Here is a 24233-nt window from a genome sequence, read left to right as displayed (position 1 = left end):
GGAGGCTGAGGTGGGAGGATTGTTTGAGTCCAGGAGGTAGAGCTGAGATTGCGCAGTGATCACTGCAGTGCGCTGAGATTGCGCCTCTGCAGTTTAGTATGGGCAACAGAGCGAGACCTAGTCTCAAAAAAAAGAATCAGTTCCAGTGCCATGGTCCTTAGTGTGGAGTAGGACCAACCTAAGACAGAAGCTTGTCTACAGAGAGCTGAAAGAAAGCAGCCTCTTTGTTGCCAGTTTAAAACAATACTGGCATTTTAAAAGCAAACAGATTCTAGTAGGAGACATTGTATAGAAGCGCACCCTGTTGTGAAAGACTGGGATCTTGAGTTTCGTGCTCTAAGTCTTGTATTCTATCAGGGGAGTAATAGGCTTTTAAAATCATAAAGTGACTATTAAAATGCTTTCAGTAGATAGATTCATTACTCCATTATTTCTACTGTATAAAAGTTTATTCTAAACATGTCTAGGAAATATCCAGATTATAAAAGAGAAATAACGGTATCCAAACCAGACTTTTTATTGCATAACATTGGTGTTAGAGTTAGTTTTTAAGTCTCTGAGATTGAATTAGCTTTTTTTTTTTTTAAAGCAGATTATCAGTGAGCTAAGATAATCTGCTGTTTACCCTCACCTATTTGGAACACAGGCAACTGAATTAATTGAATCAGCAATAGGCATGGGGTAGTGACTTTGTATATTTTCATTTTAGAGCCAAAAGCCAGTGAGTTTTAGATTAGCTTTATAGTAATATTAAAAACTTCATCTTTTATTTTTACAAATGTAGCCAAGAAACATCATTGCTGTTAAAATCAGTCAGAAAAGGAGGCTACTTGCTCTTTATTGATTTAGTCATTCTGCTCTTGGAGTGAGTAGAAAGTCTTTGAAAGCTTTTCAAAAATTAGCGAGTGATGAATTTTATGAATTAGTCACTTCTTTGCAGCAGTTTTTTTTTATCTCTACCTCTGTAGGACATAGTTCCTGGGCCAGAAGCCAGATTTCTCAAGTACCATCTAACCCCAGGAATGTGTTATGATACAGATAAATTAATGAACGGAGGCTGCCTTGAGGTTGCCAATAGGGCATTGGGGAGTAATTAATATGACAAAGATGTCATCTTATTAATGAAATGTATTAATAGTATGTCTAGTGGATTGGGTCAATGCAAACATTTTAGATTAGATATTTGCTGTTTATCCTCTGAAGTTACTGTTTAAGGAAGTCTGGCCAAGTTCTAAAGTGAAGCATACATATTTGCCTCACGTGCCATTTTTTTTTTTCTTCCTGGCTTTTTCTTAGCCATCTGGAAAGCTACTATAGGGTTTACCTCTAATGGTAGTCAAGTTACTGTATTCCTCTGGTGTACTTTAATGATTGCCACATTACCAGGTATGTTTTGTTAACCTTACTTAGAATCCAACATTAGACCCTTTCTTCTAACCTAACCTGTAGGAAGGCACTTCTTGAGGTTTTAAGCCTCTCTTTAATGTTTTATTGTAAGTTGTACCTTGGGAGCATCATTTTTTCATCTTAAATCCTCTCCAGTTTAAGAAAAATTTGAAATATAAATGGCAAAAACTGTTAATGGCAACAGACTTCTGATGTAAATGTAAATTGAGATGGAAACAAAATGAAAAGTAGATTTCCCTAGGAATTAGTTAAACTGAGATAAATGGTCCTGGATGTTTTTATAGAAAGTTCTCTTAGCCAGGTGCAGTGGCATGTACCTGTAATCCCAACTACTCGGGGGGCTGAGTTGGGAGGACTGCTTGAGCCCAGGAGTTTCAGGCTGGCAACATAGCAAGACCTTGTCTCTTAAAAAAAAAAAAAAAAAAAAAAAAAAAAGTTTGCTTAGTTCTGCTGCTGGAAATTAACACTTAAGGGTTAGAGTGCATTCCTGACATAGTCTGAAATACTGTTATTAGAATTAAAGCCAGAGGCCATGCACGGTGGCTTACATCTGTAATCCCAGCATTTTGGGAGGCTGAGACGGGCGGATCACCTGAGGTCAGGAGTTTGAGACCAGCCTAGCCAACATAGCAAAACCCTGTGTCTACTAAAAATATAAAAATTAGCCAGCTGCAGTGGCATGCACCTGTAGTCCCAGCTACTTGGGAGGCTGAGGCGGGAGAATTGCTTGAACCCAGAAGGCAGAGGTTGCAGTGACCCAATATCACACCAGTGTACTCCAGCCTGGGTGACAGAGTGAGACCCTGTCTCAAAAAAATAAAAATAAAAAAACAATAATTAAAGCCAGTAAACTATAAACACTGGGCATTTTATGTTACCAATAGGGAGAGAAGGCATTAATTCAAAGAAGGAACAAAGTTCCTTATTCATAGTTTGAATCCTCATCATTATCCATGGTGATTGCTTTGCAGTCTTCCATCTTGGGTATCCTCAGAACCTTCAAGAGGGAGAAGAGGCCAGGTGTGGTGGTACATACCTATAATCCCAGCACTTTGGGAGGCCAAGGTAGGAGGATTACTTGAGCTCAGGAGTTTGAGACCACGCGGCAAGATAGTGAGACTCCGTCTCTACGATAATAATAGTAAAAAAATCTATTTTAAAAATTAAAAGAGGGAGAAAAACTTAGGGAGGCTTATATTGTGGGTTCCTGGGTAGATTGTCTTACTGCAGTTCGTAGAACATGAATACTTGAAAGAAGATATTAACGGAGCTCTCTGAATTCTTTAAAACGCCAGAAAGGGTAAGCAGATTTCATAGACTTGGGACTGTGTCCTATATTATATACGATGTTTGGAGAATCATTGCTGAGTGGTAAAGAGGTCCAGGATTTTCTAGGAAATGTAGTCTGGTATAGAGATGGGAAACTAGAAAAATAATATAAATGGCTACTATGTACAAACAGGCTCTTAGCATACATTATTTTTAATCCTCTAAATTCCTGCAGGGTGGTAATATTATCCCATTTTACAAAAGAAAAACTCAAAAGCAGGTGGTAGAGGTAGAATTCAAACCCAGGTCTGTTTGACACCAAAGCCCTTTTCTTTCTTTCATAACACATGCTGTCTTTAAAAATAGGACTTTTCTTTTTTCTTTTTTTTTTAGATGGAGTCTTGCTTTGTCGCCAGGCTGTAGTGCAGTGGCATGACTTGGCTCACTGAAACCTTCCCCTCTCGGGTTCAAGCAGTCCTCCTGCCTCAGCCTCCGAGTAGCTAAGACTACAGGCGCATGCCACCATGCCCAGCTAATTTTTGTATTTTTAGTAGAAATGGGGTTTTACCATGTTGGCCAAGATGGTCTTGATCTCTTGACCTCGTGATCCACCCGGCCCGGCCTCCTAAAGTGTGGGGATTACAGGCGTGAGCCATGGTACCTGGCCAAAAAAAAAACCAGGGCTTTTCAAAGCCAAGAGATGAAGCTGAAAGGTAGAATTAAATATTTCTTATAAACATATGTATATAAATTATTCAAATGACAGTAGGAATACAAACTTTTTTTATTGTTTAGACATAGTTATGCTATATTGGTAAGCTAATGAGTTTTTAAGAAAACAATTTTTTTTTTTTTTTGAGACAGAGTTTCGTTCTTTGGCCCAGGTTGGAGTGCAGTGGCACAATCTTGGCTCATTGCAACCTCTGCCTTCCAGTTTCATGCGATTCTTCTGCCTCAGTCTCCCCAGTAGCTGGGATTACAGGCATGCACCACCATACCTAGCTTATTTTTGTATTTTTAGTAGAGACGGAGCTTCACCATGTTGGCCAGGCTGGTCTCAAACTCCTGACCTCATGATCCGCCTGCCTCGGCCTCCCAAAGTGTTGGGATTACAGGCATGAGCCACGCACCCATCCCAGGAAATAATTTTTATAGATTTAAGAGATAGCTGAATCCTAGTGTTTTATGATTCTTTACTGGAGAGAAAATCAGCATTCCATTCAATCTCTGAGATAATTCCAGGGGAAAAGCTGTTCTGACTCTTACAGCCTTTTGACAGTATACTGTTCTCTGTATTTTTTTGGAAGCATGGACTATCCTCCTTACCTTCTTGGTTTTTTTGTTTGTTTTTCTGAGACAGGGACTTGCTCTGTCACCCAGGCTGGAGTGCAGTGACCCCATCACAGTTCACTGCAATCTCGACCTCTGGGACTCCAGTGATCCTCCCACTTCAGCCTCCCAAGTAGCTGGGACTACAGGTGTACACCACCACACCCTGCTATTTTTTTTTTTTTTTTTTTTTTTTTTTTTTGAGATGGAGTCTCACCCTGTCGCACAGGCTGGAGTGCAATGGTGCGATCTCGGCTCACTGCAACCTTTGCCTCCCAGGTTCAAGTGATTCTCCTGCCTCAGCCTCCTGAGTAGCTGGAATCACAGGCGTATGCCACCGCGTGTGGCTAATTTTTGTATTTTTAGTAGAGACAGGGTTTCACCATGTTGGCCAGGCTTGTCTCAAACTCCTGACCTCAGGTGATCCACCCGCCTCAGCCTCCCAAAGTGCTGGGATTACCAGCGTCACTTAGACGTCAGCCACTGTGCGCAGCCTAATTTTTAAATTTTTTCTAGAGACAGGGTCTCCTGATGTTGCCCAGGTTGGTCTCAAATTCCTGGACTCAAGCGATCCTCCAGCCTCAGCCTCCCAAAGTGCTGGGATTACAGGCATGAGTCACTGCGCCCAGCCTATCCTCACCTTGAAACCTTTTTATTCTTGACTTCCAGAGGTTTAATTTTGATTATTCGTTCTTCTCAATTTTTCTCTCTGCTCTCCTTTCTCTTCTCTAAGGGTAGGTATTCCTCAAGATTCTTCCCTTGAACATCCTCTCCCAGAGCCTTCTTAGGTAACTAATTGTTTGTTTTAGTGAGATATGATTTACAAGGTGTTTGATTTTGAAGTTTCTCTGTACAGATAATTCACAAGTCTGTATCTCTGGCCTTACTTTATTTAAGTTCCAAACTTAAATTTGTTCGTCAGTACCTTCCTAACATGTCGGCTTGGATTTTAAATTTATTCAGAATAATTTCTCATCCCACCTGCCAGCTTCTCATTTGTGTCACTTGATTTTCTCTGGGCGCCAGACTAAGAACTTGTCCTTCTTAACTCAGCTTTGTAACTGCTTATTGAGCTAAACATTATCTACCTTTACAACGATTCTCATGTTGATCCCTTTTTAATTCCTTTTGCCATCAACCCAAGACAGCCCCTCATTACTTCTTATCTTGGCAACTATAATAGCTTTTAAACTTGTTTCTCTTTCCTTTTCCTTCATTTCAGTCCATCTTATTATCTTTGACAAAATAATTTCTCTGATGCCTGACTGCCTGCCCCCCAACAACAAAGCTTTTATTATACTTCTTAACTAATCAACTATACCTTACCATCTAGCCAAAGTAGACTACCCATATATGTTTCTTGACCATGTCAGGTTTTTAACCTCCATATCTTTTCTTGCTCTGGTCCTGTGGAATGTCTTTCTCAACTCTACCCGTTGAAATCCTGCCTGTCTTTTAAAGCCCATCTTAAAAGCTAATTTTCCATGGAAGCATTTCGTTTTTCCCTGAAACTAAATATAATCTTTTCCTCTGTTCAACCACAACAGCATTCTATTTATCTTTTTAAAAAATGATAGATACTTTTATCTCTTGTATCACTCATTTTTCCTAATTGATTAATTGGCTACAAATGGGATTGTGACTGCCTTGTTTATATTTGTAGCTTCTAAATTGCCTGGTACCAATGCTGTTGTGTAACAGCATGTTTGCTTACACATAGGCCACTGGGTGGTGCCAGAGGCTTGTGATTTGTATAAAAATGAGTAGCCTAGACTCCCAGCTAGAGTCTACCTGCTAGAGTCTCTCTGCAGTTGGGTTGTTTGTACTGTCAGATCTTCAGCACAGTAGGAATAGAGATTAATTTTTCTGTTACAGAAACATTCAGTTTCTTTCTGCTCATCTGTCCAGCCTACCAGAGGAGACAGTGTCATATGTTGGACCCCTCCAAGTACTTAATAGAAAATAGCCCAGAACTAAAGTCCTACCTACCATAAACATGCTTTATATAATGAGTTTCAGCCTCTTTGGGGTCATCCTTTGAGTTTCAGTGCCTGAGGTTCTCTGATTAATAAACACTATACGGCCAGGTGCAGTGGCTCGTGCCTGTAATCTCAAGCATTTTGGGAGGCCAAGGAAGGTGGATCACTTGAGTCCAGGAGTTCGAGACCAGCCTGGGCAACATGTTCCCCACCACCATCTCTACAAAAAATTTAGCTGAGTGTGGCAGTATGCACCTGTAGTCCCAGCTACTGGAGGGGCTGAGGTGGGAGCATCACTTGAGCCTGGGAGATCGAGGCTTCAGTGAGCTGAGATCACATTACTGAATTCCAGCCTGGACAACAGCGAGACCCTGTCTTAAAAAAAAAAGAACATCTGCAAAACCACTATGCTATTAGAGTGTGGAAGGCAAGTAGGCTTGGAGAAGTAAGTGTTTCTTGTGAAGGAGAAATATTAAGAAAAGTAAAATAAACTTAAAATGAGCCATTTCATCTTGGAAACAAAAATTGGAGGTGGAGAAAGTAGAACTAGTTGATACCAGATGGACTGTGGGACCTAGAAAAGCAAATTTGTACTTTGGATGGAGATCAACCCTGAACAGCTGCTCATTTATGAGTGGTATGGGACATCTGTCCTCCCAAGAGAAACTTGGGACTGTGTGGCTCTCTGTCTTAATAATAATTGAAGTATTTTCTTATCACCTTCTTCTTTCAGAGGAAATTCTAAAACCTTGTCTCATTTAAATATGGGTGTTTATGTAGGAGAGTTGGGCACTTGAGTAGCAGAATGAGGCAGGCACTGGTTTGAGAGAATGCTGGGATTATATAAACCATGAGATTTGACAGACCGAATTCAGGTCTTAGTAAAGGGATCAAGGACAATAATAATATTTACACGTTGATGTTTCGATCGGGCTCAAGGTAAGGTAGTTGTCAGACCAGTGTTCATAGACCCTAGGCACCAGAGGATTTAAAATGAAATTCAGAGAAATTTAAAAAAAATAAAGAGCATAAACATACAAATTAATAGTACAACCACAAGAACAACTTTGAGCTACTTAAATTTCTGCTATTCTTAGTTATCACCAAGACAATAGGGTTGTAGACTTTTTATGTATTTAGGATTCATCTTGCCATTAATATGGTCGCTGATAAATCACACAGGCAGTCTTGGTTGCAGCAAAAATCCTTTCAGCACTTTCGTTTTCAAGTGAGAAGTCTGGACATTATGCTCTCATTTGCTATGATATATTGACCATTTTTGTCAACTTCTATTAATCACAGCCTTGAGAATTTAGTGTTTTTAATGGTATTATGTCATTTAACAATTTGCATGATTTTCCCCCATCACTCTTCTCTCATCCTGTTTTTTTTTTTTTTTTTTTTTTGAGACAGTTTCGCTCTTGTTGCCCAGGCTGGAGTGCAATGGTGCGATCTTGGCTCACCGCAACCTCCGCCTTCCAGGTTCAGGCAATTCTCCTGCCTCAGCCTCCCGAGTAGCTGGGATTACAGGCATGCACTACCACGCCCGGCTAATATTTTTGTACTTTTAATAGGGATGGGGTTTCTCCATGTTGGTCAGGCTGGTCTCGAACTCCTGACCTCAGGTGATCTGCCCGCCTTGGCCTCCCAAAGTGTTGGGATTACAGGCATGAGCCACTGCGCCGGCCTGCATTCGCTCTTTTTAGGCCACGTTTATTAAGGTATAATTTATATACAGTAAAATTTATCCTTTTTTGAGTTGGCCTATTCTTTTAATTCTGACAAAGGCATAGTTATGTAACACCACTGTGATTGGCGCATGGAACATTTCCATCATTCCAAAAGGTTTTCTCATGCCCTTTCGTAGTCAGTTTCATTCCCCTACCTCCAAGCCCTGGCAATCCCTGATCCCTCTATTCCTATAGTTTTATCTTTTCCAGAAAGTACTATAAGTGGAATCATATATTGTATAGCTGTTTGAGTCTGAATTATTGCACTTACCATAACATACTTGAGATCTATCCATGTTGTTGCTTGTATCAGTAGTTCATTCCTTTTTATTACTCAGTAGTATCCCATTGTGTGGACCTACCACAATTTGTTTATCTATGACCCAGCTGAAGAAAATTTGTTTCCAGTTTTTTGATGAATTTAAGTAAAACTATTAAAACATTCACCTACAGGGTATTTTTAATTTTGTGGACATACATTTTCCTTCTTGTTTATCTTATTTATTTATTTTTAAAGATGGAGTATTGCTGTGTTACTCAGGCTGGTCTTTAATTCCTGGGCTCAAGCAGTCCTCCTGCCTCAGCCTCCCAAATTGCTGGGATAACAGGTCTGAGCCTCTTTTTTCTTGTATAAATTCCTGAAGCTGAAGTGGGATTCCTGAGTTGTATGATAAGTGTATATTTAACTTCATAAGAAACTGCCAAATTGCTTTTTTCAAAGTAACTGTACTGTTTTGCATTTCTAGTAACAGTGTATATGAGTTGTAGTTGCTCTACTTCTTGTTAGTACTTAATAAAGTAAATTTTTGTTATTTAAACAATTTTTGACCATTCAAATAAGTGTTTAGTGGATTCTCATTGTGGTTTTAATTTATATTTTCCTAATTATTAATAATGTTGAGGATCTTTTCAAGGGATTATTATTTACAGTACTTTTTTTGGTTTGTTTTTGAGATGGAGTCTCCTCTGTTGCCCAGGCTGGAGTGCAGTGGTGCGATCTCAGCTCACTTGCAACCTCTGCCTTCTAGGTTCAAGCGATTCTCCTGTCTCAGCCTCTCCAGTAGCTGGGACTACAGGCATGTGCCACCACCCCCAGCTAATTTTGTATTTTAATAGAGATGGGGTTTTACCACGTTGGTCAGGCCAGCCTCAAATTCCTGACCTCAGGTGATCTGCCCGCCTCAGCCTCCCAAAGTGCTGGGATTACAGGTGTGAGGCACCACACCCGCCCTCTTTTTTTTTTTTGAGATGGTGTCACTCTGTTGCGTAGACTGGAGTGCAGTGAGTAGCAGGATCATAGCTCACTGCAGCCTTGAACTCCTAGACTTAAGTGATCCTCCCACCTCAGTCTTCCAAAGTGTTGGGATTACAGGTGTGAGCCACCATATCCAGCTCGCGATAATTATTTAGTTGTGACAGTTTTTTTTTTTTCTTTTTTTGAGATGGAGTCTTGCTCTGTCACCAGGCTGGAGTGCAGTGGCGCGATCGCAGCTCACTGCAACCTCCTCCTCCCTAGTAGCTGGGATTACAGGCACGCACCATCATGCCTGCCTAATTTTTTTGTATTTTAGTAAAGACGGGGTTTCACTATGTTGGCCAAGATGGTCCTGATCTCCTGACCTCGTGATCTGCCCACCTCGGCCTCCCAAAGTGATGGGATTACAGGCGTGAGCCTCCACGCCCAGCCCCAGCCTGTTGCGACAGTTTTAAAGGATATTCTGGTTACTGTCCTTGATCAAATACATGTTTTGTAGATACTTTCTTCCAGTCTGTAGCTTGTCTTTGCATTGTTGTAACAGTATCTCTTGGAGATATTTTAATTTTTTTTTTTTTCTAGATGGAGTCTCTCTTTGTCACTCAGGCTGGAGTGCAGTGGTACTATCTTGGCTCACTGCAACCTCCACCTCCTGGGTTCCAGCGATTCTCTTGTCTCAGCTTCCCCAGTAGCAGGGACTACGGGCATGTGCCACCACGCCCGGCTAATTTTTGTATTTTTAGTAGAGACGGGGGTTTCACCATGTTGGCCAGGCTGATCTCGAACTCCTGACCTCAGGTGATCCACCCGCCTTGGCCTCCCAAAGTGCTGGGATTACAGGCCTGAACCACCGCTCAGATTTATCAGAATTTATTAATTTTGATAAATCCAACTGATTAATTTTTTTGTATGTGCTTTTTGTGTCCTATCCTAAGAAATTGTTGCCTAACCCAAGGTCACAAAGGTTATTTTCTTTGTTTTCTTCTGGAACTTGTGTTGTTTTAAGTTATATTTAGGTCTGTGATTCATTTTGACTTAGCTTTTGTATATTGTACAATGTATGGATTGAGGTTCTTTAGTTTTTTTCTTTTGGCAGTTGAATGTTCAGTTATTCTGGTACAAGTTGAGCATCCCAAATTAAAAAATCTGAAATCTAAAATGCTTTGAAATCTGAAACTTTTCGAATGCCAACTTGATGCTCAAAGGAAATACTCGTTGGAGCATTTTGGATTTTGAATTTTCTGATTTGAGATGCTCCACTGGTATATTGCAAATATTTAAAAATTTGAAACACTTCTGGCCCCAAGCATTTTGGGTAAGAGGATACACCGGACAAGGGATACGTAGTCTCTTATGCAGATCTTTCATCATATTAGAGGAAAAGAGCAGCCCCAGTAGTTTTAAACAAGAGACACTTGGTATCTCTTTTACAGAGTACTCTTATCCAGCGTAGTAAAGTCTTTCTGCCTGGTTTTTAGTTAATATTTTGTCATGTAATTGGTTAAAAATTTAAGGCTTTATTCTTATTAAGACAAGAAAAATCTAGGTCACTGGAATTTCTTAGTGAAATTAAAATGGCACCTGGGTCTTTTTTCCTCACCCTCCAGTGGGTTACTCTTTAACCTTCAGTTTGGCAGGAGTTATGGTTATTTTTAGAGTAGGAACAGTGGAGCTAATCTAATTAAACTCCTCCAACTACCTGGGACAGTGAGCTCATCAGCTTTTCCAACCTCAGCAAGATTAGCTTTGGACTAGATTTTACATGAAAGTTGATCAAAGTAAAAATAGTGGATTTGTTGGAAATACAGTGAAAAGTGAAGAAGATAGTTTGGATTTGAATCAAATATGTTCTCTGCAGACCTCAGTTTATAAAGTTAAGACTGTATTCTTTGGTAATGGAAAAGATTTTTTATTTTTTATTTTTTTGGAGACTGTGTCTTGCTCTGTCGTCCTGCCTGGAGAGAAGTGGTATAATCACAGGTCACTGCAGCCTCAACTTCTATGGCTCATGTGATCCTTCCATCTCAGCCCTACCCCAAGTAGCTGGGACTACAGGCATATGCCTGACTGATTTTTTTCTTTTCTGTAGTGACGGGGGTCTTCTTATGTTGCCCAGGCTGGTCTCCAACTCCTGCCTCGGCCTCCCAATGTGCTGGGATTATAGGCGTGAGCTGCCGTGCCTGGCTGGAAAAGATTTTTCAGTGGCTCCTATACTTGACACCTAGGGCACAGCATCTCTGCCTCCTTGACTGATTTATAGAGACAAGGGTCTCACAGTTCTGCCCAGGCTGGTCTTGAATTCCTGAGCTCAAGCAGTCCTTTCTCAGCCTTCTGAGTAGCTGTGATTACAGGTGCATGCCACACCTGTGAGCATCAGGTTCCTGCTCAAAGTTTTCACTCATATAGGTTCATAATCAAAGTTTGGAGACCACTGCTCTAGAGTATCCTTCTGCAGAAATTTTGACATTTAATTCTACTTACTTTTATCATCTGTGCACATGTATTTTCTAGAGCAATTATGAGTCAAAAGTTCAGGCAGTCTGGGCTCCTGTAGGAGTTGATGCTTGGTTTTGAGAGAGGTTCTCTGCAGCTGCTTTTGAATTCTCTGGGAGTGGATAATAGTGGGGTGAAACGTATGGTAAAGAGTTTTGATTATGGAGGTGGGAAAACATCAGATCTGTTCTTCATGTTACACTGGTCTGCTTATTACCTTAGTTTATAAGTTTTTTTTAATTTTTTTTTTTGAGACGGAGTTTGCTCTTGTTGCCCAGGCTGGATGGGGTGCAATGGCACGATCTCGGCTCACCACAACCTCCGCCTCCCAGGTTCAAGCAATTCCCCTGCCTCACCCTCCCTAGTAGCTGGGATTACAGGCATGTGCCACCATGCCCAGCTAATTTTGTATTTTTAGTAGAGACAGGGTTTCTCCATGTTGCTCAGGCTGGTCTCGAACTCCTGACCTCAGGTGATCTGCCCTCCTCGGCCTCCCAAAGTGCTGGGATTAATCTTAACAAAGTAGTACATTTTCCCCACTTGATAGGAATTAATATAATTTTAAACTCTAGATGGAGAAGATAGGCTCCTATTCTAAAGAATATAAACAAGGACTGTTGAGAGGGAAAAACAAGTGCTGTGTGAGGAATGCTATACAAAACTGTCTACCTCAAAAATGAGGAAAACAAAATGCATTGCAAACAGCTTCTCACTATTTTTCTTCATGTTGCTTCACATATCTGTTTTTTGTTGCCATTGTCTTTCATCATCACCCTTCCAGGTGTCCCTTCCTGAAGTTCAGTCAGCTTCAGCCCCAGTCTTGCAGTATTTCTATTCCCACCTTGGCCTATTATGAACAATCTTTGGGCTACTGTCTTTTGACAGAGGATACTTTTAATGAAGCAGCTTAGATTTCTATAGAGGGTAGCGGAGGAAAAGATAAGGATGAGGCTGCTTCTGGAATAATTGTCATGGGAATGAAAGGGCTGTTGAAAGATTAGAGGCCAGTGTGCCTGGGTACAAGGACTGGGGTCATAATTATACTTTGTCTTTTACTAGTGCCTTTTGTCCAAGTCACTGAAAGGGCTTAATAAAATTCTGGTCTGAATAATATTATTCTTTGCTCTTTGGAATTTACTGGAGGTGGCAGTGAGGCTCTGAAAAAAATATGAATGTTTTATAGTGGCATAAAAGGAAGTGAGTTAGATACCCTGATTCCTTGTTAAGGAAAGATGAGTCTGGTGAAAGCTGGTGCTGTTAGGTGAAACAGTGTTTGCCATTATATGAAATGGGATGAGATGGTTTAATGGAAATGTTGCCTTTTTCTTCCCCACCTTTGTCTTTGTGCTTAGAGACTCTGACTGTTAGTCCTAAGGGAAACAAAACAACTTAAGCTTCTTTCCTAGGGATAGGGTGCTCCTGATTTCTAGTTTCAGCTCTATAATCCTTAGTATCTGTGCCTTTAATAAGTTTGAAGTTAGTTGGGCTGGGCGTGGTGGCTCATGCCTGTAATCCCAGCACTTTGGGAGGCCGAGGCGGGCGGATCACTCGGGAGATCGAGACCATCCTGGCTAACACAGTGAAACCCCATCTCTACTAAAAATACAGAAAGGTGGGCATGGTGGCAGGCGCCTGTAGTCCCAGCTACTTGGGAGGCTGAGGCAGGAGAATGGTGTGAACCCGGGAGGCAGAGCTTGCAGTGAGCCTAGATAGCGCCACTGCATTCCAGCCTGGGCGACAGAATGAGACTCTGTCTCAAAAAAAAAAAAAGAAAGAATAATAATAATAGGTTTGAAGTTAGTCATCTGAGTGAACAGAAAGCTCAATCTCTTCCCCCAAGAGGTTGATTTCTGTTGATTTGTGTGTAAAATGATACTCAGAATCTGACCCACCTCTTTATGTTGTGAAAACAAGTGTTGTACAGAGTTTGAGGATACATATGTCACTTATTTACATTGGAAGATTCTTGCCTAGGGGGCAATGCTGAAGTTAGCTTTATGTATTGAGTTGAGACTCTTGGCTTGCAGTACCTGTCATTTGATATGTGCCTCCTGTTCCAGGTTTTATTTTAGTTCCCACTTTCGCATCTGAAAAATCACTGCCAGTTACTCAGTGAGTGAAGTAAAGAGATGGCACTTGACCTCCCCAAAAATATATCATTATATGGATTTTAAACATAGGGAAGAAAACATAAGGAAGAAAAAATTTCACAAGCTGAGAAGACCTGTTAAGCATGCATACACAAATCATTTTTATAAAAATGATAAAACCTGTACATTGTTAAATCTCCTTGTCCCTATTGTCTTCTTTCCCAGGTGGTTTCCTAATTGTTTTGGTTTCTTCCTCTCCCAAACCCAGGCTGGCTACAGCAAACATCATTCAAGATGTCCAGCAAAGGGAGCAGCACAGATGGCAGAACAGACTTAGCTAATGGTAAGGGGCCAAAATGAAGGTGAAGCTATTTTTACTATCAACTGAGGTTGTCCTCCTCCCTGCAAGATAGAGTGGAGGCCTGGATTTTAGTGGAGAGAGGGAAACTTTCCTGTGTTGTTCTGAGTTTAGGAAACTACACAGGAAACACCTTGGACTATATTATGCTTTTGCTTCTTCTGATTTTATCTGATCATTTTCAAAATATCAATAACAGAGCTGTACTTCTAAGAGGTCAAGTGGTTTGGAGTTCTATAAAGCTATAAGGATGGGCAGAACCTAGGAAATGCTGTTAGTAAAGGAGAAAAATAAAATCTAATGGCTAGTAGGAACAAGGGAATTTTAGGGAAGATGAGCTTCCCAGTTATATTGAGAGGTCCCTTTCCACAGTAAGTAGTAGTTTGATAGAGAGATTACATGGCTGGGCATGGTGGCTCATGCCTATAATCTCAGCACTTTGGGAGGCTGAGACAGGCAGATCGCTTGAGCCCAGGAGCTTGAGACCAGCCTGGGCAACATAGCGAGACCCCGTCTTTTTAAAAAAAAAAAAAAAAAAGGTGATTACATAAGGGATGAAGTTACAACCCAACTAGGAGTGGGACATCTTTCCCCTCCTTATTTCCTTTCCTTACTTCCCCTCCCTTCTTTCCATTTATTTCCTTCCTTCCTTCCTTTCCCTCCTCCTTCTTTTCAGGACCAGTGCTGCCAAGTGTCAAATCACTGGCTTTAGGGCAGATTTGAAGGCAGAATATAAAAATTCTAATAGAGTATAACTACCACCTGGGTTATTTAACCAGCTCTTCACCTCTGAGCCAACTTTTAAATTAGAGAAGCCGCCTTTAAATGGATATAGTTGGGCAGCACAGAGTCCAGCATTCCTTAGCACCTTGAAGGTCAGGATAACAGGCTAAATTCTAGTTGATGTGATTGGAGGAAGGATAAGTGAGATTTTCAACATGCTTTTTTATTGCTCCATATGTTCTTATCACTGCCATTCATTCATCTTTTGTAAAGGAAAGTGGTTCATATTTTTCACTGGGTTTAGTTGAAAGGCACAGGGTTCTAGAGGAGTTAAAGTATACTATTGATTTGGAGCTTGACCATTAGCTAGGTCAAGGATTGGCAAACTATAAATTGCAGGCCAAATCCAGCCTGCCACTTGTTTTTGTAAAGTTTTATTGGAATACAGTCATGCCTGTTCGTTTATGTAGTGTCTATGAGTTGCTTTTGTTCTACATACTGGAGTTGAGTAGTTGTGGTGGAGCTCCGTATGGTCTGCAAAGCCTAAGGTTTTTACTATCTGGCCCTTTACAGAAAAAATTTGCAAACCCCTACTCTAGATCTTGGTGATTTACTGTTGGGGACTTCTTGATGAGCTTGTGATACCCTCTGGCCCTTATGTTAATGTGGTAAGGCCTCCAAAATTGTCTATATTTGTTACTCATAATTTTAACAATAAACACTAGATGTTTTGGTGTTTTATTTTTTCTTTTCTACAGACCTGTTAGGTTGGTGTTTCAGTCCCTGCTCACCACTCCCAAGCTCAAGCCCAGCTGCATTTCAAAAAACTGTAACTGCTAAACTTTCGTAGCATATATAACAGGCTCAGCAAATGTGGTCCTTGGGTTCAAATTTCTGTACTTCATAACTTTTTCTTCCAGCCCCTAGCCCAGTTGTTTTATACTGTGCTCTTAGTTGAGGCTTTTTTTTTTTTTTTTGAGACAGAGTTTTGCTCTTGTTACCAAGCTGGAGTACGGTGGCACAATCTCGGCTCACTGCAGCCTCCACCTCCCAGGTTCAAGCGATTCTTCTGCCTCAGCCTCCCAAGTAGCTGGGATTACAGGCACATGCCACCACGCCCGGCTAATTTTTTGTATTTCTAGTAGAAATGGGGGTTTCACCATGTTAGCCGGGCTGGTCTTGAACTCCTGACCTTAGGTGATCCACCCGCCTTGGCCTCCCAAAGCGCTGGGATTACAGGTGTTAGCCACCGCGCCCAGCCTGCAAGAACTGTTTATGTCTTCTGGGCTTCTGTTACTGCTTGAATCAAAGCACTTGTATTGTTGATCTTTTTTCAGTATTGGGTTTTGCTTAAGAGTACATTGCTTCAGAGCTCTTCACAAATTACTGCTCTAATCCACATGACTAGGCAATAAGGTGCTCCACCTTTGAATCCTTAAACATCAGTGTGGTATTGGAGTTGAATAGCTCATACTGGATGGTCTGCCTTTCCTGACAGCTTTTACTTCTGGCGGATAAAATTTATAGCCATCTGAGGAAAGGAGGCCCATGAGCAGCATTTAAAATCTTTATTCTCCCCTTTTTTCTTCACACCTTGACTTAGGTTGGAAGTTGTGGTTGTATTGGCTTTAGAACATTCCTCAAGTTCTCATTGGAATTGACTTGACTGTTGTGAGTTAAGAGAATGCAGTATGTAGTTATAGGAGATAAGATCGATAAAAGTGACCTAGTTATTTAACTATCAGCATAGCAGACCTAGAATATACTGAACTTTCGTCTTAGGCACCACTATAGTAGCCCAGCTTTTTATCAATTTTATATATGCTTCCTAATAAAACTGTCTCAATAGAGAGACTAAAAATGTGTGACTAAGAATTATATTAAAAAATTCAAACTAATGGAAGTAAGTCAAAATATATTTACTAGCAAAAGGTGAGCAAGAACCCACTCAAATGATCACAATTCCCACTTACCCCTTCAGCTTGCTTTCTTAGTGAATTTTAGAAACTTAGGTGGGGAAGAAGCTTAGGATTTAGGTGACAGAAGGTGTAGTGGTACTTTCTTTTTTTTGAGATGGAGTCTCGCTTTGTCGCCCAGGCTAGAGTGCAGTGGTGCGACTTTGGCTCACTGCAAGCTCTGCCTCCTGGGTTCATGCCATTCTACTGCCTCATCCTCCTGAGTAGCTGGGACTACAGGCGCCCGGCTAATTTTTTGTATTTTTAGTAGAGACGGGGTTTCACCATGTTAGCCAGGATGGTCTCGATCTCCTAACCTCGTGATCCACGTGCCTCGGCCTCCCAAAGTGCTGGGATTACAGGCGTGAGCCACCGTGCCTGGCCTGATACTTTCTTAAAGTAGGAAATGGTGCAACACCACATCCATAAGTCAAGAGTGATTTTTATCAGCTGGTTTCCGTCTTTCGCTAAGAAGATGGCTATGCTAGCTCTTGCTGGAGTTGGCTCTTCTTTTTATATTCTGTTTAATTATTTGCTATAACTTAATAAATGCCCATCCAATACAACAGAGCCAATGGTAGATGTATCAGGCACACTTTTATACAATATGCCAATGTTTTGCCTCTTGAGAACTTAATATAATCTTAGATTGTCCTGAGATTCTTTGCTTTTGTTGAAGTATTTTATGTGTGTGGATTTGATCTTAATCTTTTCAATTTCTTGTCCTTTACAAGATTTCCCCTCAGAGGGTACTCTCTGTAATTATTTGTAATGAAAACACTTGGACCAAAGTTCATTTTTTGGTCTTTTGATGTGAAGATTTCTTAGACTAAGGTGGTCACTATCCTGTTTTCTTATTTTTCCCTCTCCTCTACTCCTTCCTCACTAACATGCAGGAAGCCTGTCTAGCAGTCCAGAGGAGATGTCTGGAGCTGAAGAGGGGAGGGAGACATCCTCAGGCATTGAAGTGGAGGCCTCAGACCTGAGTTTGAGCTTGACTGGGGATGATGGTGGCCCCAACCGCACCAGCACAGAAAGTCGAGGCACAGACACAGAGAGCTCAGGTGAAGATAAGGACTCTGACAGCATGGAGGACACTGGTCATTACTCCATTAATGATGAAAATCGAGTCCATGACCGCTCAGAGGAAGAGGAAGAGGAGGAAGAAGAGGAGGAAGAAGAGCAGCCTCGGCGCCGTGTACAGCGCAAGCGGGCTAACCGTGACCAGGACTCATCAGATGATGAGCGGGCCCTAGAGGACTGGGTGTCCTCAGAAACATCAGCTCTACCCCGACCTCGCTGGCAAGCCCTCCCTGCCCTTCGGGAGCGGGAGCTGGGTTCAAGTGCCCGCTTTGTCTATGAGGCCTGTGGGGCAAGAGTCTTTGTGCAGCGTTTCCGCCTGCAGCATGGGCTTGAGGGCCATACTGGTTGTGTCAATACCCTGCACTTTAACCAGCGCGGCACCTGGCTGGCCAGTGGCAGCGATGACCTGAAGGTGGTGGTGTGGGATTGGGTACGGCGGCAGCCAGTACTGGACTTTGAGAGTGGCCACAAAAGTAATGTGTTCCAGGTGAGGCAAGGGAGCATAATAGCAACTGAGAGAATCAGGCATGAGTTAGAGAAATCTGAACTGCAGCATGGATTGGGAGCTGATAGTGAGTTATTGTAGGAATTACATATCGGGACATGGCCCTACTTTGGCTCCCCTAATGACCTAAATACACTGAAAGACTCTTGGCAACCCTAGATTCCTTGAGCATGTGGACTGTTGGAAGCCTCATAGGTAGGGTGCATGCAGCTTATTAAATGTGTGCTGGTAGGAGGCAGTGTAGTATAAGCACAGGCTCTTGAACCAAACTGCCTGAGTTCAAATCCTAGCCCTTCTGCTTACTAGCTCAGTGATCTTGGCCAAGTTATTTTACCTTTGTCTTCAGTTTATCTGTAAAATGGGACTAATAACACATAGGGTTATGAGGATTAAGTAACAATAGAAGCTAAGCAGTTAGAACTGTGACTGGTACTTAATAAACATTTGATAAATGTTAGCTTATACTGTTGTTATTCTGGAAAGATTTTACTCCTTGGCCCCATCTACTGTACTGGTACCAGCCATTTATCCTAAGGGTGTTCTCTTTTCTTCCCTGACATTCCCCCTATTTTCCTTTTTCTTTGTAGCAAATTTATATTTACTTTCTTAATCAAAGTAGATTTTTCCTCCTCTATTCCTTTTCTCCTCTGCTAGATACAGTCCTAGTTCATCTGAGCTCTTATCATGTGCCAGTTCAATCTTCCAGAGCCAACTGAAATGCTCTCTTACATCAAAGGAAGTTTTTTCTCTCCCTTTCCTTTAACTCCTGGAAGAAATTGGGCTTAGCCAGCTGTACAAGAGTAGGAAAGCTAAGTTTCCAGCTGTCATGTAAGAAAAGGGGGTAAGTTGAGGTCATCATCGTATTTTTTATTCTCAAGTTTACCTCTCTCATTTCTTTTGTGTGTCCTTTTTTTCATTTTTAACACCCCAGGCCAAGTTTCTTCCTAACAGTGGTGATTCTACTCTGGCCATGTGTGCCCGTGACGGGCAGGTTCGAGTAGCAGAACTGTCTGCCACACAGTGTTGCAAGAATACAAAACGTGTGGCCCAGCACAAGGGAGCGTCCCACAAGGTAAGTAAGACCTTGCTCCAAAATTTGTGCAATCCAAATCCTCTGTGGTTCTCAGCCAAGGTTCTCCCTTATCTCTGCCCATTGTGTCACATTTGTTGTGGTCATGTGCCTCACCTCTTTCAGTCCTAAGATTTGTGGTTAAGAAAGGAGCAAAAGCAGCCACCCTAAACTCCTAGGAAGGCAAGTATCTGAAAAGTCCCTAGATCATGCATTCATAGTATTTGGCCCCTAAGCTAAGCCCTAGTTGGTTTGGAGATCTTTGAGGTCTCCTGTGCCCTCTAAACCTTTTACATTTATTGTGATTTTTTAGGGTATTTTGACAGTTTCAAGGTGCTAGTGGTTTATTCCTCTTGTGTGAGAGCTTCAGCTTACCTGCTCAAACTCTCAGTTCACAAATAGCACTGTTTCTGGAAGCCCTATTTAAAGCTGGGAATATAGGCCAAATAATCCATGGTGGCAGCTAACAAGGAGTTAAGAGCTGCCAGTTTTAAGGTAGGCATGGTGTTGGTCTTTTGTGCCATGAAAAGAGGTTGGTACTCTCTTAGAAACCCTAAGCAAAAATATAGGTGGACCTGGAGTATCCTTTTCTAGCCAAGGCGGCCCAGGATATGTGAAAATTACCTATTTCTTTGATTCTTAAGTCTACTCCTAACCCACTAGTTAACTGATTTTCAGTTGTAAGGAACTAAGATGTAAGGAATGAAGTTGGACACCATTTCTCTCTGCACTTAAGGGTATGGAATTGATTTTATTCGAGAATGAACTGTTGCTGGGTGTGGTGGCTTATGCCTGTAATCCCAATACTTTGGGAGGCTGAGGTGGGAGGACTGCTTGAGGCCAGCAGTTAAAGACCAGCCTGGGCAATATAGCAAGACCCCATCTGTGGAAAACAAACAAAAAAAAAGCGAAAAAATTAGCCAGGTATAGTGCCTTGTGCCTCTAGTCCCAGCTACTTGGGCAGCTGAGGTGGGAGGATCACTTAAGCCCACAAGGTTGAGGCTTTAGTGAGCCATGATCATGCCACTGCACTTCAGCCTGGGTGGTAAAGTGAGACCCTGACTGGAAAAAAAAGAAAATGAACTCTAATGGCTGATGTTTTTCTTTGCTATCTGTTCATATCTCTTGAGGACTTAGTTGAAATAGCAAATCAACTGTCCTTTGACTAGTTATAGAATAAACAAAACTATAAATAATTCGCATAGAACAAGAGTAAGTGGGCTTAGATTATGTCCTTTCCTGGGATTTTATGACAAAAAGGTAGACATTTCTCTTTTTGGAACATTTTAAGTGCAGCCCTTCCCAAAGTTATAGGAATGAACTAGATGACCTCTAATTCTAATATTTAGAAACCTCATGTTTTTCCTTTTTCTTCTTCAGTTGGCACTGGAACCAGACTCTCCCTGTACGTTCTTATCTGCAGGTGAAGATGCAGTTGTTTTCACCATTGACCTGAGACAAGACCGCCCAGCGTCGTAAGTGTAGCAGTAATATCATTACAGAACTGTATCTCTTAGCCTTGAACATATTCCATATGTCTTGGTAATGCCTAACTCTGGTTCATCCGAATAGTACCTTTGTGCCTATGGTTAAGAGGTAGTTTAAGGTTAAGGGGAATTCCTTACTTCCTCTCTTTCTCAGTAGTGAAATACTATTCAGTCTACCTTCATTTCTCAAACAGTTTACTTGTTATATGTGGCCTTTAATAATTTGATGATCTTTTGCTCTTTATTCACTTGGATATCATTCATCTTACCCACAGAAAGCACATTCTTCCACAGACTCATGTAGAGGTACAGTCCTGTAAATTTTAAATTTAAATACATTTTTAATTTAGTTATTTATAGAAACATACAAACATAAAATTTGAACAAAAATACTGGTAGCTGTAGTTGAGTTCTGTTTTATCACAGTTCATTTGTATGTGAATCTGAGACTCATAGGTAAATTTTATTCCTTTTTAACTGTGTGGTATCATAGAAAAAACACAACATCTTGTTTGGATCCAGGCAGACCTAGGTCAAATCTCAAATCAGGCACTACTAGTTATGACTTACATAACCTTCTGAACCTCATTTTCTTCAGCCTTGCTATGGGCATATTTTTTTCCCTCCCTCCGTCCTTCCCTCTCTAGTAGTTTCTGTGAGGATATATATATATATACACACACACACACATACACACACACATATATACACACACATATACACATGTACACATATATACACACACATATATGTTTATATACACACATATGTACACACATATACACACATATGTATTTATATACACACACGTATATATGTATGTATATATATACGTACGTGTATGTATGTGTGTGTGTGTTTGTGTGTGATGCCTCAGCATAATGTTTAACACCATGGCTGAAATTGATTAAGTTTTAGCTTATAATTATAATTATTTTAGTTTCTTTTTTCATTTTTATTGCTCTTACAATAAACAAATACTTCTTGTTTAAGAGATTCAAGTAATAAAGTATACAGACAAAATGTAAATGCTCCCTCAGTCACCCCCGCCCCACCATTTTTTTAGCTGTTGAAAACCATTGTGGGCAGGGCACGGTGGCTCACGCCTGTAATCCCAGCACTTTGGGAGGCCAAGGCAGGTGGATCACTTGAGGTCAGGAGTTTGAGACCAGCCTAGCCAACATGGCAAAACCTCACCTCTACTAAAAATACAAAAATTAGCTGGACATGTTGGCATGTGCCTGTAACCCTAGCTACTCAGGAGGCTGAGGCAGGAGAATCGCTTGAACCTGGGAGGTGGAGGTTGCAGTGAGCTGAGATCATGCCACTGCACTCCATCCTGAGTGACGGAGCAAAACTCCATCTCAGAAAAAAAAAAAAAATCATTGTAAGTAATTTTGAACACCTTTTTAGTCCCTTTTGTATACATTTTGTACCTAAATACATATATACACTTTCTCCTTTCTCCCCATAAGTATACTTGTATGTATATATAAACATATATGTATGTTTCTGCAGTTTGCTTATTTCATGTTACAATGTGGGAGATTTTTCTGTGTTGGACCATAAAAGCTACCTTGTTGTTAACCATGAGAGAAATGTCATAGCATTGGTGTACCACAGTTTATTTAACCTTTACCTTATTGATAGATATCTAGATCGTTTATTGTCTTGTTTGTCTTAAAGATTATTATAACAAATCTTGGTCAGGTGCAGTGGCTCATGCCTGTAACCCCAGCACTTTGTGGATCACTTGAGGTCAGGAGTTCGAGACCAGCCTGGCTAACATGGTGAAACCTCGTCTCTACTGAAAATACAAAAATTAGCCGTGTGTGGTGGCACATGCCTATAATCCCAGCTACTCAGGAGGCTGAGACAGGAGAATCGCTTGAGCCCAGGAGGTGGAGGTTGCAGTGAGCTGAGATCATGCCACTGTACTCCAGCCTGGGTGACACAGCAAGACTGTCTCAAAAAAAAAAACCAAAATTATTATAACAGATCTTATAGGTCAGTACCAGTATTGAGTAAGGGATGGCAATGATTTACATAGGACATAAGTAAAATATAAATTAATTTATATTGGGGAATATAACATGAAGGCTGATTATTACTAGACTTATTTTTGGAGAGCTAAGTCCAGAAAAAGCTGTTTGGATAGTAGAAGAATTTCTACAACTGCTTAAAAGATAGAAATGTTTTAGGCTTGGGGAAAAGATATGTTGCTTGTTTATATAACCTTCAAGAGGACAAAGACTGGGAGATTTATAGTGGAAATGGAACAAGCCTAAATGACAAGGGTTCTGCCTTCTAGTACTAGCTTTGTAGTTATCTGACTTTGAGGAAATCATTTAATCTTTTGAACTACATGATGTTTGTTATTTCCAGTTCTAAAGTTCCAGGGTTCTGTAATGGTAATGGAAGATTAGCAAGTTTTTCATAGGGAAGAGCAAAAAAGGAAAAAATGATAGTAAGTTTATTTAATATGCTGTGTTAAAGAGTTGTGAAACAGAGTGAGATCTTATCCTGTGGATCAGGTTCAGAGGGAAACTACTGTTAGGCCACCAGGAATTGAATCTGGTGCAAGTAATGAATAGAGCGAATGACTTTGGCAGATTATTGAATTTAGAATGAAATTATATAGGCAGAAAGTCTGGCTGAGAGTTAACCATGAATCTGAACATAAGCAATGATAGGTGGGATAGACTCTAAAGAGGGGTAAAGGAGAAAATGAAGAGTAGAAGGAGGCCCAAATCTAGATTTGAGTAATAAAGACAGTGAGTCTTTAAAGTTTTTGTTGTAAGGGTTAAAGTAGTGTTACAGGCTGGCATGGGGTGAAAAGCTGAACATCTGCTTATGTCAGAGGCATTTTTTTTTTTTTTTGAGGTGCAGTCTCACTCTTTTGCTCAGGCTGGAGTACAGTGGCATGATCTTGTCAGAGGCATTTTTGTGTGAAGTTGGCATAAGGGGGATTTTCTTTTGTATATATGATGATAGCCAAGTCTCTGAAAGCTAATGAAATTGACTAACATCTTAGGAAAAAAGTTTGATTTGAACCTGTGGATGGAATATTCCTTTAGCCAGTGGAAGCCAGTTTGAGGTATTCTTCAAAGAAATCCTTTGGTCTCATCTGTAATTATTTTTCCCTTTTTGCTGGGACATACTTGCTCATTAATTTTAAGGCAAAATTTGGTGAATTTGTTTAATGTTTCCTCTAATGTGAACATTTTTTCCTCCTATTGCCATGATAATCATTTTTATAGCACCTCTGCATGCCCCCTGCAGAGTTCAAGGTACTCTGCATTTACCCATCAGGAGGGAGAAATGTTTGTTTTATGGGATTAAGTTGAGGCATAGTAAGATTGAGCTCTTCAGCAGGATTACATAACTGTGGAGCCAGTACTTCATAATCTATTCCTTAGTTTCTTCATTTTGCTTCCACATGGTAACTTTTGTATTTGTTTGACCTTGTCCTTCTGAAATTTCAAATTGCTAAGGAAATGA

The 24233-nt window shown here is 40.8% G+C and overlaps 1 protein-coding gene across 5 annotated transcripts in view, besides 1 other annotated feature; it reads left to right on the top strand.

Annotated features, from left to right (window-relative positions):
* DCAF8 (DDB1 and CUL4 associated factor 8) overlaps positions 1-24233 on the top strand; it is a 46830-nt gene that overhangs the window by 4695 nt on the left and 17902 nt on the right. For 3 of the 5 annotated variants that reach the window (NR_028104.2, NR_028103.2, NM_015726.4), the window contains 4 exons: positions 13821-13895; positions 17485-18158; positions 19108-19248; positions 20626-20720. Coding sequence is in view for 1 of the 5 variants with exons in the window: in NM_015726.4 (NP_056541.2) it covers positions 13847-13895; positions 17485-18158; positions 19108-19248; positions 20626-20720 (959 nt within the window). In the remaining 4 variants the exon portion in view is untranslated. Of the gene's footprint in view, positions 1-13820; positions 13896-17484; positions 18634-19107; positions 19249-20625; positions 20721-24233 lie in introns of those variants that run through there. The other 2 variants (NR_028106.2, NR_028105.2) reach the window with 1 other exon arrangement.
* Positions 5690-5819: a silencer, noted in NCBI's record as "silent region_1460". NCBI's record gives its function as "represses an Ori minimal core promoter by ATAC-STARR-seq in GM12878 lymphoblastoid cells {active_cell/tissue: GM12878}" and the evidence as "EXISTENCE:reporter gene assay evidence [ECO:0000049][PMID:35858748]".

This window comes from Homo sapiens, chromosome 1 (genome assembly GCF_000001405.40).
Source record: "Homo sapiens chromosome 1, GRCh38.p14 Primary Assembly".
Lineage (NCBI taxonomy): Eukaryota > Metazoa > Chordata > Mammalia > Primates > Hominidae > Homo > Homo sapiens.
Note: the sequence above shows the minus strand (reverse complement) of the source record. Positions and strands in the feature narration are given on the sequence as shown.